This window comes from Homo sapiens, chromosome 20, assembly GCF_000001405.40.
Source record: "Homo sapiens chromosome 20, GRCh38.p14 Primary Assembly".
NCBI lineage: Eukaryota > Metazoa > Chordata > Mammalia > Primates > Hominidae > Homo > Homo sapiens.
Genome location: NC_000020.11, coordinates 4,203,021 through 4,216,647, shown reverse-complemented (window position 1 = coordinate 4,216,647; position 13,627 = coordinate 4,203,021).

Here is a 13,627-nt window from a genome sequence, read left to right as displayed (position 1 = left end):
TGGCTTCAGGAAAGCATAAAACCAGATGCTTGTAAAGGATAAACTGGTCCCGCAGCCTCTCTGCTCAGAATGGCTTTCGGGAGCCCAGTGGACCCGTGCTCCCTCGGCCCAAGTGGTGCCGGGGCCTTTGGGCAGGGGGGCATTGCACTGCTGTCAAGGGTCTGGCCAGGACTTTCTTCCCTTCCCCAATCCCCAGCCCTTTTGGGAAGCAGTGAAACAAAGGGAATGCTGAGCAGGATGCCGGCCTACATTCTAAAATTGCTGTGGTCTGGGGAGGAATAAGTGGAACTTGCAAGATATGCTTGGAATCAAGAAGAAATCCAGGAGCTAGGGCCACAACAGGCTGAGATTTCAGAGCCAGGAGTCGGAGGTAAGGATGCATCAGAAGCATTTGCAGACACCTCAGCCACGACATCTGTGGATGTTTCTTCCAGGATTCACCACTCACGTGACTCCACCATATTGTTTTGGTCCACCTCCTTCTGTCCTGCCAGAACCCGAAAAAGGAATCTCAGTTCCTTTTCCTGAGAGAGGGAATCAGCTTGTTCCCATTCATGCACTGAGCCAAGCCACAAAGGCCAGCTTATGGATTGGCTAACTTTGGGTCAGGTCTGAACAGTGAGGGCGGGCACATGGGAGTGAGCGAGATGGATCATGTGGGGCAAAACACAGCCATCTGGGCACCAGCATCTGAGGGTGGGGGCGGGGCAGATAATGATGACATCCCTAGCACACCGGATCAGCTAAGAGCACAGCTGCAGGCAATAAGGAAGTGGATCAATAGCTGCATAAACCTGGGGCATTATTTTTCTCACTTGGCAAGTTATAGAACAGGTGGTTGCTGGTATTGCCAGTCAAGAACCCAAGCTCGCTCTTTTTTTTTTTTTTTTTTTTTTTTTTGAGACAGAGTCTCGCTCTGTTGCCCAGGCTGGAGTGCAGTGGCGCCATCTCAGCTCACTGCAACCTTTGCCTCCCGGATTCAAGTGATTCTCTTGCCTCAGCCTTCAGCCTTCCAAGTAGCTGGGATTACAGGCATGAACCACCACGCCTGGCTAATTTTTTCTTTTTTTTTTTTTTTTTCTGAGACGGAGTCTCGCTCTGTCGCCCAGGCTGGAGTGCAGTGGTGCAATCTTGGCTCACTGCAAGCTCCGCCTCTTGGTTTCACGCCATTCTCCTGCCTCAGCGGCGTCCCAAGTAGCTGGGACTACAGGCGCCTGCCACCAAGCCTGGCTAATTTTTTGTATTTTTAGTAGAGATGGGGTTTCACCCTGTTAGCCAGGATGGTCTCGATCTCCTGACCTTGTGATCTGCCCTCCTCGGCCTCCCAAAGTGCTGGGATTACAGGCTTGAACCACTGCGCCCGGCTAGTTTTGTATTTTTAGTAGAGATGGGGTTTCACCATGTTGGCCAGGCTGGTCTCGAACTCCTGACCTCAAGTGATCCACCTGCCTCAGCCTCCCAAAGCGCTGGGATTACAGGCATAAGCCACTGCGCCTGGCCTGAATTTTACATTTTTAAATGATTGGAGGGGAAAGTCAAAAGAATAATATTTCATGACACACTAAAATTGTATGAACATTACTACATAATATTCTCAAATTTGCCTCTTGGCTCACAAAGCCTAAATTTTACTCTCTTGCCCTTCACAGAAAAAGTTTGTCAACCCTCGCTTTAGGATGATTGAGGATCATTGCCAAAATCAGGATTCTGGCAGCAAGAAGAAACAGAGAATAGATTTCAGGTGGGCATTCCTGGTGTCTGCTACACATTCCGTCAACACATTTCAAGCCTGTATCCAGTTATCTAATTTGCAAGCAACATAAGCTAAGAAGTCCCCCTCTCACCAAGAACCTAGCAAAAACAAGTTATCTCAGAAGCCATCTTCTTCAAGGATATCTTCCCAGATTGACCAGATGTTTAGGTTTTTGGGTTTTGGTTTTTGTTTTCTTTTTTTGAGACGGAGTCTCGCTCTCCCAGACTGAAGTGCAGTGGCCCAATCTCGGCTCACTGCAACCTCCCCCTCTAGGGTTCAAGAAATTCTCCTGCCTCAGCCTCCCAGGTAGCTGGGCCTATAGGCACATGCCACCATACCTGGCTAATTTTGTATTTTTAATAGAGACAGGGTTTCGCCATGTTGGCCAGGCTGGTCTCAAACTCCTGACCTCAGGTGATCCACCTGCCTCGTCCTCCCAAAGTGCTGAGATTACAGGCATGAGCCACAGCCCTGGCCAAATGTTTAGGATTTTGAAAGACAGCTAGCCAGGCGCAGTGGCTCACGCCTGTAATCCCAGCACTTTGGGAGGCCGAGGCGGGTGGATCACAAGGTCAAGAGATCAAGAGCATCCTGGCTAACATGGTGAAACCTCGTCTCTACTAAAAATAAAAAAAATCAGCCAGGTGTGGTGGCATGCGCCTATAGTCCCAGCTACTCAGGAGGGCGAGACAGGAGAATCGCTTGAACCCAGGAGGTGGAGGTTGCAGTGAGCAGAGATCGTGGCACTGCACTCCAGCTTGGGCAACAGAGCGAGACTCAGTCTCAAAAAAAAAAAAAAAAAAAGAAAGAAAGAAAAAGAAAGAAAGACAGCTGTGAAAAGGAAAGGGGGACACCAGGAAATCCCTGGCTAGCCGCATCCCAGAAGACTGCAGTATTATTTGCTCAGTGAACTTGCCCCCAGCCAGTCATTTATCTATTCTTCAGTATTACAGGTCCAGAAAGCGGATCTGGTGACCAGTCTCATATAAGCTGATATGGACTTCCTAACTCACTAGGAAGTAAAGTTTGTAAGCCCAAGGCCAATATGCTAATTTTTAGTGGGATATATAACTTAACCATCAACAAGCCAATGTATTTATGACAATAAATGAGCTTGATGGGAAGTCAGTCCATGGTCTGAAAGCTGCTTCATGAGCTCACAGGCAAAGCTGAGGAGTTAGTGAACAGTTATTTATTTAGTGTACCAAGCACAGGACTTGATCCCTGGGCCAGGGTTCCACCTCCTGGTGCCTCCTGCCTCTGTTTCCAATACATCCCCTCTCCATCCTCCCATCTGACTCATGCTTCATTCACAGCCTTTAATTTTGCTCTGTGCCTTTAAGTTCACATTGCTTGTCTCTAATCTCCTCCATTGCGGGTCCATTTCAGAGTAGAACTCTCAGAAGACAATCTTAAGAACTTTTCTTTCCAAGCTCTTAAGGGGCATCTTACAGTCACCCTAGTGGACAAGCCTACAATGCCTACCACATGGGCTTCATACAGGTTAGGTAGTCGGTGTCCCCCTGACTCCAGCTATGAACTGCACCTTCACACGTGGGGCATAGGGGCCCTCTGACACCCTTCAACCAGCCAGTACTCTCCAACCATCAACAAATGGCCAGGTGAGGTCATCAAATGCATGCATTTGGTAGTATTTACTGAACACCTACTATCTGCGCAGTAGATGGGGATACAGCAGTGTGTAAAAGAAAAGAAACCTGCCACCATGGAGTTCTTGTTCTAGAACAGGGTGATAGGTAATAAACAACATATATGGCAGGTGAGATGGTGATAAGCAAAAGAAATATAACAGGAAATGTTGGGGATGGGGAAATTGCACTTTTAGACCCAACACTCAGGGAAGTTCTCAGCTAGGTGATGTGTGAAGACGGTAAGGGAGTGAGCCACACAGATCCCTGAGGAGAGCATCCAAGGCAGAGGAGACAGCAAGTGCAAAAGTCCTGCCATAAGAGGATAACTGGCAGTGTCAAAAATTAGCAAGGATGCCATTTACTGTGGCAACTGCAACAGTCCACGCAAGAGATGATGGCGGCTTTGCCAGAGGAATGGGGGTGGGAGTGAAGAGAACAGGTGGAGAGATTCTGGAGATGAAGATTTTGGAGCTACGCTAGCATTCCCACGCACTCAACCCATACTTAGCATCCCCTTCCCAAGCTACCCTCTAGAACTGCCTGCCTTATTAGGAGCCCTCAGGACATTTCTTTTTTTTTTTTTTTTTTTTCTGAGACGGAGTTTCGCTCTTGTTACCCAGGCTGGAGTGCAATGGCATGATCTCGCCACAACCTCCGCCTCCTGGGTTCAAGCGATTCCCCTGCCTCAGGCTCCCAGGTAGCTGGGATTACAAGTGCCTGCCACCACGCTCAGCTAATTTTTTTGTATTTTTAGTAGAAACGGGGTTTCTACATGTTGGTCAGGCTGGTCTCAAACTCCCAAACTCAGGTGATCCACCTGCCTAGGCCTCCCAAAGTACTGGGATTACAGGCGTGAGGCACTGCACCCAGCCAATTTTTTTTTAATCAAACACAGACACGACCAACTCAACTTGGTATTGAAGTCCTTTATAAGACCTCTCCCCTTAAAATACCAATGAAGAGCTGAAAAGAGGATAAAAATTCAAAGCAGGTCTTTAAAAATGAGGATATCAGCCAGCCATCTGCAAACAGTTGGGACTCCAGAGTTAACAAAGCTGAATTAAAAGACTCAGAGCTCTTGCCAGAGTGTTACCCTGTGCATCAAAGGCACCCCTGGCCAGAGGTGGGGAAGGAAAAGGCTCAGCCCTCTCCAATGCATATACCCCACCCTTAACTCCAAGAAGAGTCCATCCAATCATCAAACCTCCAGCCACTGTCCTGCTGCCCACACATTGCTTTCTGAGTAGCTGAGGACACAGTCGTGATCCTCCATTCTCCTGATCCCCTTCAGGAACTTTCTTTTTTGTTGTTTATTTGTTTGTGGGAGATAGGGTCTTGCTCTGTTGCCCAAGCTAGAGTGCAGTGGTGTGATCATAGCTCACAGCAGCCTTGAACTCCTGGGCTCAAGCGATTCTCTCACCTCAGGCTCCCCAGTAGCTGGGACTACAGGTGCATGCCACCATGCCCTGCTCATTTTTAAATTTTTGTAGAGACAGGGCCTCACTATGTTTCCCAGGCTGGTCTTGAACTCCTGGCCTCAAGTGATCCTCTCATCTCAGCCTCCCAAGGTGCTGGGATAGCAGGTGTGAGCCACCAAACCCAGCCCCTTTCAGGAACTTTCTACATCCAGTGAACACTTCATGCCCACTGGACTGTACCAGTTTGTGGGTTGGGAATCAGAAGGGATCTTGAGAGCAGGGTAAGACACCACAGTTTTTCAGGTCTTCATCTGATGGAAGAGAAGTAGCCAGCAGCTCTGAATTATTTTTAATTTTTTTATGTATCTATTTTTTTAGAGACAGTGTCTCACTATGTTGCCAGGCTGGACTCCTGGGTTCAAGCCATCCTCTTGCTTCAGCCTCCTGAGTAGCTGGGACTACAGGTGCGTGCTACCGCTCCCAGCTAGCTCTGAATATTTAGAATAAAATTCTTCCTCATCAGCCAAGAATTGGGCAGTGGGAACAGAAGATCTTTCCTCAATCTCATAGATTAGAACTAAAAGAATGCCCACTGGCTTCTATTCCCTACAGCCCCTTGGGCTGGAATCAAGCCATGAAATGCATCCTCCCCAGGGCCCTGAAGCCCTTGACCTATTCCTGCCAGGCCCCTTTGCTGGACCTGAGTCGCAGTAAGGGTAGCTTCCCATTCTGTGGATCCACGGCACATATCATCACCAGTGCCCAGAAAGCTCCCTCTTGGCCTGGATGACTCCCCTAAAGAAAGGTGTATTAGTCAGCTATAGCCACAGTAATGCTACAAAACAAGCCACCCCTTAATTCACAGGTTACAATAGCAAGCATTTATTTTTCTTGCTTAGGTCTCTGTCTGCAGATTCTAGTGTTGGTTCTAGGCTTTTATGGCTCAAATCCATTCCCCTTTTCTCTGTATTCTCCTTGAACCATCCGCTGTCTGGGGCATATTCTTCCCATGATTAATGACAAATACGTGAAGCTTTAGAGCTTCTGTTCCTAACACATCATCTATCCACATTTCACTGGCCAAAGCAAGTCATATGGCCAAGCCCAAAGCCAATGGGGCAGGGAAATATACTCTGCTCCAAGGAGAGGAAAGTGACTGAATATTTGCCAAAAATTTTCCAGTGCATCACAAGAGGACTGGCTCTTCTGGCAAAATTTCCTTCTACCCTTCTCTAGCCACCAACCAGGAGACCCCAGGGTGCAACTCATGACCAGCCCAGGAATATCCTAAGGGACCTGGACTCTACAACTGATGAGTGTTGGCCTCCTTTCAGCCAGCAAGGGTTCCTAAATTAAGGTGGACCACAGGCAGGGACAGTTGATATAATATCTGGGATAACTTCCCCATGTAGATAAGCAAGGTATAACTGGGAGGGCAGGATTCATATTCTGAGGGTGGATACACTTCTGGCAGGCAGTCTGGACATCACATTTCTGAGTCTCTGAATCTCTTTTTTTTTTTTTTTTTTGACATGGAGTCTCGTTCTGTCACCCAGGCTGGAGTGCAGAGGCACGATCTCGGCTCACTGCAACCTCCGCCTCCTGGGTTCAAGCGATTCTCCTGCCTCAGTCTCCCAAGTAGCTGGGACTACAGGTGCACGCCACCACACCCAGCTATTTTGTCGTATTTCTAGTAGTGACGGTGTTTCACCATGTTGGCCAGGCTGGTCTCGAACTCCTGACCTCGTGATCCGCCCGCCTTGGCCTCCCGAAGTGCTGGGATTTCAGGTGTGAGCCACAGCACCCGGCCAAAAAAACAACGGTTTTTTATTACACTGAGGAATGGCAAAGTTGTACAGATGCCGGTGCTCTCATACCCTAGCGGTGGGCATGTAAATAGGTAAACCTCTTCCCAAGGTAATTTGAGAGTGTCACCATGCGTCTTAGGTGGCTCACACTGATTTTAGGTTGTGTCTTACATCCCTGAGGAGTTTACATCTATAATAGGGTTACAAAAAATGTTTATTAAATGAAAGACAATAGTATAATTGCTGGAAAATGCAAGTTTTTTAAAATTAATATTTACTGACACAAATAGGCTTAAAAACATTCCTTGGGGGAAAAACAGAAACTTTAAGGCTGGGCATGGTGGCTCACGCCTATAATCCCAGCACTTTCAGAGGACGAGGCAGGCGGATCACTTGAGGTCAGCAGTTTGAGACCAGCCTGGCCTACATGGCCAAACCTTATCTCCACTAAAAATACAAAAATTAGCCAGGTGTGGCGGCACACACTTGTAATCCCAGCTGCTTGGGAGGCTGAAGCAGGAGAATCGCTTGAACCTGGGAGGCAGAGGTTCGTTGTGTGACCATACTTCATATAAGTATCCACTGAGTATAGTATGGAAAGGAAGGAAAAAAGAATAACTTTACAGGGGAGAAACCTGATAAACACTACTTTAGCCAGTTGATCAAGTTCAACATCAACAGTCATGAATCACATCAATAGTATGCATCCTTGATATAAGATGAAAATGGCACTTTACCTCTGTGACCTTCCTTCCAAAAAACCTCATTACCCAAGTCTAATTATGAGAAAAACACAGAAAAGGTGGGGCACAGTGGCTCACACCTGTAATGCCAGCACTTTGGGAGGCCAAGGTGAGTGGATCACCTGAGGTCAAGAGTTCAAGACCAGCCTGGCCAACGTGGTGAAACCTCATCTCTACTAAAAATACAAAATTATCCAGGCATGGTGGCGCATGCCTGTAATCTCAGCTATTTGGGAGGCTGAAGCAGGAGAATTGTTTGAACCTGGGAGGCGGAGGTTGCAATGAGCCGAGATCGTGCCATTGCACTCCAGCCTGGGCAAGAAGAGTGAAACTCCGTCTCAAAAAAAAAAAAAAAAAAAAATCAGAAAAAAATCCAGTAGAGGGAGATCCTATAGTATACCTGACTACTACTCCTTAAAAATTTCAAGGTCATCAAAAACAAGGAAAGCCTTAAAAAGGTCATAGCCAAGAAAAACAAAAACAGTTTGTTTTTTCTCTCTACTCACATTCAACACTTCTGTGATCAGATATGGTGGGCTTCCCTCCACATCAAGCAATTCTTCAGCAGACACCAACTGGTGTCTGTAATTCAGTTCCACTCTGGCACTACCTACCTGAGATGGTGTCAGATCCTACAGGTCAAGGGCTCAGTCCCGCAAGATGCCTCCACTTCAGACGCCAATTGCAAGTCCCAGGCTGAGACCCATGTTTCTGACTGACTGGCTATAAATCAGGGTTCCCACAACCTCATGCCTCAGGTTCAATACTTTTTTTTTTTTTTTTTTTTTTGAGATGGAATCTCGCTCTGTCGCCCAGGCAAGAATGCAGTGGTGCCATCTCGGCTCACTGCAACCTCTGCCTCCCAGGTTCAAGCGATTCTCCTGACTCAGCCTTCAGAGTAGCTGAGACTACAGGCATGTGCCACCACACCCAGCTAATTTTTGTATTTTTAGTAGAGACAGGGTTTCACCATGTTGACCAGGCTGGTCTTAAACTCCTGACCTCAGGTGATCCGCCCGCCTCAGCCTCCCAAAGTGCTGGGATTACAGGTGTGAGCCACCGCACCTAGCCTCAATAATTTCTTAAAATGGCACACAGGACTCAGGGAAACACTTTACTTAAGTTTATCAGTTTATTATAAAGGATACAGATGAACAGCCAGATAAAGAGATGGATGGACAGGGCAAGGTGTGGGTGGACGCGGAGCTTCCACGCCTCCTCTGGGTGTGCCACTCTCCCAGCACCTCCACATGTTCAGCAACCCAGAAGCTCATGAGAGCTTGTTGTTCAAGAGGGGGTTTTTTGGTTTTTGTTTTGAGACCATGGTCTAACTCCGTCACCCAGGTTGGAGTATAATGGCACCAACATGGCTCACTGCATCCTCGACCTCCCAGGCTCAGTGATCCTCCCACCTCAGCTTCAGCCTCCTGGGTAGCAGGGACTACAGGCACATACCACTATGCCCAGCTAATTTTTTATAAACATGGGGGTCTTGTTATATTGCCCAGGCTGGCCTCAAACTCTTGGATTCAAGCAGTCCTCTAACCTGAGCCTGCCAAAGTGCTGGGATTACAGACGCAAGCCACCATGCCCAACCCAAGAGTTGTAATAGAGCTTAATCTCTAGCCACCCTGCTTCCCAAAAATTCGTGGGGGGGGATAAAAATTCCAACCCTCTAATGCTCTAATTACTTGGCCTTTCTGGTGACTGTCCCCATTCTGAGGTTATCTAGGGGACCAACCCTAAGTCACCTCATTAGCATTAACTCAGGTATGATCAAAAGGGGCTTATGATGAATAACACAGGACACTGCAATCATTCAGGAAATCCCAAGCGTTTTAGGAGCTCTGTGACAGGAACCAGGGACAAAGACAAAATACTGTGTATATTTCCTATTATACCACAGAACCTAAGGAGACAAGACAACTAAATATAATGTGGTATTCTAGAAGAGAAAAAGGACATTAGGGAAAATATGAGGAAAGCTGCATAAATGATGGAGTTTAGTTAATAATAAGGTATCAGTATTGGTTCATTAATTATGACAAATGTATTATACTAATGTAAAATGTGCATAATAAGGGAAATTGGGGGGATGGGAGACTATCTTCTTGCTTCTTTAAGTTTAAAACTGTTTTAAAAATAAAGTTTATTAATATAAGAAACAGAACCGAAAGACAAAAATAAACAAATACACAGTTAGAGCTGGAGACTTCAACACTATTCTCTCAACAACTGATAGAACTAAACTGAAAATCAGCAAGGATATAGAAGAATTCAACACCATCATCAGTCAACAGTATCTAATCAACATCTATAAAACACTCCACCCAGCAAAAACAGAAGACATATTATTCTTTTCAAGCACCTGTGGCTTGTGTACCAAGATCACGTAAACCAAAAAGTTGCTGAGGCAGGCATCGATCAATTTAGAAGTTTATTTTGCCAAGGTTAAGGACATGCCCAGAAGAAGTAAACTCAGAATCACAGAAACAGTCTGTGGTCTGTGCCTTTCTCTAAAGATGAATTTAAGGGCATCAGTATTTAAAGGGGAAAAGTGGGCTGGAGAGGAACAGTCCTCCACATGTTGCAAGAGAAAAGGAGCAAGTAGAGAAAGAGTCAAGACGTATTCGTCTCAGGCTCAGCAAATCGTTAAGGTAAGGGGAACACGGAGTAGCTACCTTTGGAGATAATTTAACCTGTTATCTGTAGCTGTCTGCTTAGGAACAAAATGAAAGGCAGCTTCTTGCGTGATTCGGCTCTCAGCTTAATTTTTTTCTTTTGGCCTGGTGAATTGGGGTCCCGAGTTTTTATTTTCCTTTCATAATCATATACCATATCCTGGGCCATAAAACAAACCTGAACGAATTTAAAGGAATTGAAATCATGCCAAGTGTGTTCCCCAACCCCTGTGGAATCGAACTAGAAATCAATCAGAAAGGTCACGAGAAAATCTCCAAAAACTAGGAAACTAAAAAACACACTTCTAAATAATCCTTGAGTCGCAGAGAAGTCTCAAGAGAAATCAAAACATTTATTCAACTGAGTGAAAATGAAAACACATCTAAATTTGTGGGATGCAGCTTAAACAGTGGTGAGAGGGAAATTTAGGACACTAAATGCTTACATCAGAAAAGAAGAAATGTCCCAAATCAATAATCTGACCTCACATCTGTGAAACTGATATAGGAGTTTAAAAAGGAATTAATTTAGCAGATAGTAAAGGTAAGGAAGTCCTCGGTAAGGTTTCCCTTTTAATACAAAGCAGCCCCCAAATCATTCCTTTTTTTTCTTGAAACGGAGTTTCACTCTTGTTGCCCAGGCTGGAGTGCAATGGCGCGATCTCGGCTCACTGCAACCTCTGCCTCCCAGATTCAAGCGATTCTCCTGCCTCACCCTCCCAAGTAGCTGGAATTACAGGCGCCCACCACCACGCCAGGCTAATTTTATATTTTTAATACAGACAGAGTTTCGTCATGTTGGTCAGGCTAGTCTCGAACTCCTGACCTCAGGTGATGCACCAGCCTCGGCCTCCCAAAGTGCTGGGATTACAGTTGTGAGCCACCGCACCCGGTCAATCATTCTCTTTTCTAACAAATAACAGCCTGTAAAGTCGAGCTGCAGACATAAAAATGTGCACGAGTGCATGCTGGCAGCTGTGCCAATAGGAAAGGGGCTACCTGGGGGCTAGGCATGTTCAACATGGCGGCTCCATCTTCCTTTTCTTTGCCAACCACGTGTACAGTGAGGAGAAGACAACATGGCACCGGCCAAGTAACAACTCCATTTGCATAATAGAAGATTAGGATGGGGTCGCCAGCTTCCTCGCATGCTATGTAGACGTCAAACCTGGTCCAACCAATCTTTGACCCCTATAAATCAGACAGCGCCTCCTCAAGCCAGCCTATAAAATCCAGAGCACTTTGCTGCAGGCTGGAAGTCCCACTCAGGAGCCCCTCTCTCTGGCAGGAGAGAGTGCTATTCTAGTCTCCTTTCTCTTTCTTTTGCCTATTAAACCTCAGCTCCTAAACCCACTTCCTGTGTGTCCACATACTCAATTTTCCTTGTTGTGAGACAACAAACCTCAGGTATTTACCCAGACAACGACACTGCTTCAAAACTAGAAAATAGAAGAGCAAATTAAACTCAAAGCAAACAGAAGGCAGGAAATACTAAAGATAATAGTAGAAATCAATGACATGGAAAACAGGAAAACTGGAGAAAAGTAAGTGAAACAAAAAGCTGGTTCTTTGAAAAAAAAAATCATAAAAGTAATGAACCTCTAGTAAGGTGAACAAAAGGAAAGAGAAGGCCCAAATTACCAATATCAAGACTGAAACAGGACATCACTACAGATTCTGCAGACATTAAAACTTATGAGAGGAAGTCAAGGCCATGATTAAAGGAAAATTCATAGCTTTAAAGGCACATGTTAGAAAGGAGGAAAGCCAAAATTAAGAAGCACCCACCTCAGAAAGAAAAAGAACAGTACATTAAGCCTAAACAAAGTAGAAAAAAGAAAATAATAAAGATAAGAACAGAAGTTAATAAAATTAAGAATATACTTACAAAAGAGAGGATCATGAAGCCAAAAGTTGTTTCCTGTGAAACAGGAAAAAAAAAAGAAAGAAAAGAAAATATGAATAATCCTATAATAAATAAATTAAATCTGCAACTTAAAAAATCTTCCAAGACTAAATGGCTTTACCTGTGAATGCCATACACACATCTAAGGATGCAAGAACACCAATTTTATTTTATTTTATTTTATTTTTATTTTTATTTTTATTTATTTGAGACGGAGTTTTGCTCTTCTCACCCAGGCTGGAGTGCAATGGCGTGATCTCAGCTCACTGCAACCTCTGCCTCCCGGGAGGAACACCAATTTTAAACAAACTCTTACAAAGACTAAAAAAAGAGCAAACACTTCCAAATTCATTTTATGAGGCCAGAAAAACCTTGATACTAAAATCAGACAAGGACATTCCAAGAAAGGATGGGGAACAACTGGAAGTCTCATACCTGCTCCATGTGCCCCAGGCAGCTTTCCTGAGCCTTGGATGACCAGCTCACAATTCTTATATCCCAGGTAAGTTTTACATCCCAGAGCCACATGACTCACTGGACTAATGTATTGAAGGACATCCTGTTTCTGAAGGGGACTAGAACAGAGTCCAGACAGTTTTATACCTGCTGGAGGGTATGTCCATTGGTACAACCACTTTGGGAAGCTGGTTCATATTATCACCTGAAGTTGATGTGACTTTATGAGCCATCAGTTCCACCTCCAGGCACATACCAATCAAAATGTGTTCACATGTGCACCATGTGACAAGCATGCTCATTGCAATATTTATTCATAATAGCCACAAACTAGAAACAACCCAAATGTCGCGGTGGCTCATGCCTGTAATCCCAGCACTTTGGGAGGCCAAGGTGGGTGGATCACCTAAGATCAGGAGTTCAAGACCAGCCTGGCCAACATGGCGAAACCCCATCTCTACTAAAAATACAAAAATTAGCTGGGCATGGTGGTGTGTGCCTATAATCCCAGCTACTCGGGAGGCTGAGGCAGGAGAATTGCATGAAACCAGGAGGCGGAGATTGCAGTGAGCCAAGATCGCGCAAATTCACAGCAGCCTGGGAGAAAGAGCGAAACTCCGTCTCAAAAAAAAACAACAAGAATAACAACACCCCAAATGTCCATCAAAAAAAGAGCAAATAAGGCTGGGCATGGTGGCTCATGCTTGTAATCCCAGCACTTTGGAAGGCCGAGGCGGGCGGATCACTTGAGGCCAGGAGCTCAAGACCAGCCTGGCCAACATGGGGAAACCCTGTCTCTACTCAAAATACAAAAAAATTAGCCGGGCATGGTGGCAGGTGCCTGTATTCCCAGCTACTCAGGAGGCTGAGGCAGGAGAATCGCGTGAAACCAGGAGGCAGAGGTTGCAGTAAGCCAAGATCAGGCCGTTGCAATCCAGCCTTGGCAACAAGAGCGAAACTCCGTCTCAAAAAAAAAAAAAAAAAAAATTAAAATTAAAATTAAAAAAAAGATCAGATAAGAAAAATGTATTATATATAAAAATGCATGAGCTACTACCTCACACAACGACATAATGCATCTCATGAATATAATGCTTCACAAAAGAAGCCAAGCTTCAAAGAACACATTCTGTGAGATTCCAAATATGGAAAGTTCGTGATAGGCAAACAAATTAAAAATGATAGTGTTAGAAGTCAAGTCCTTTTGAAA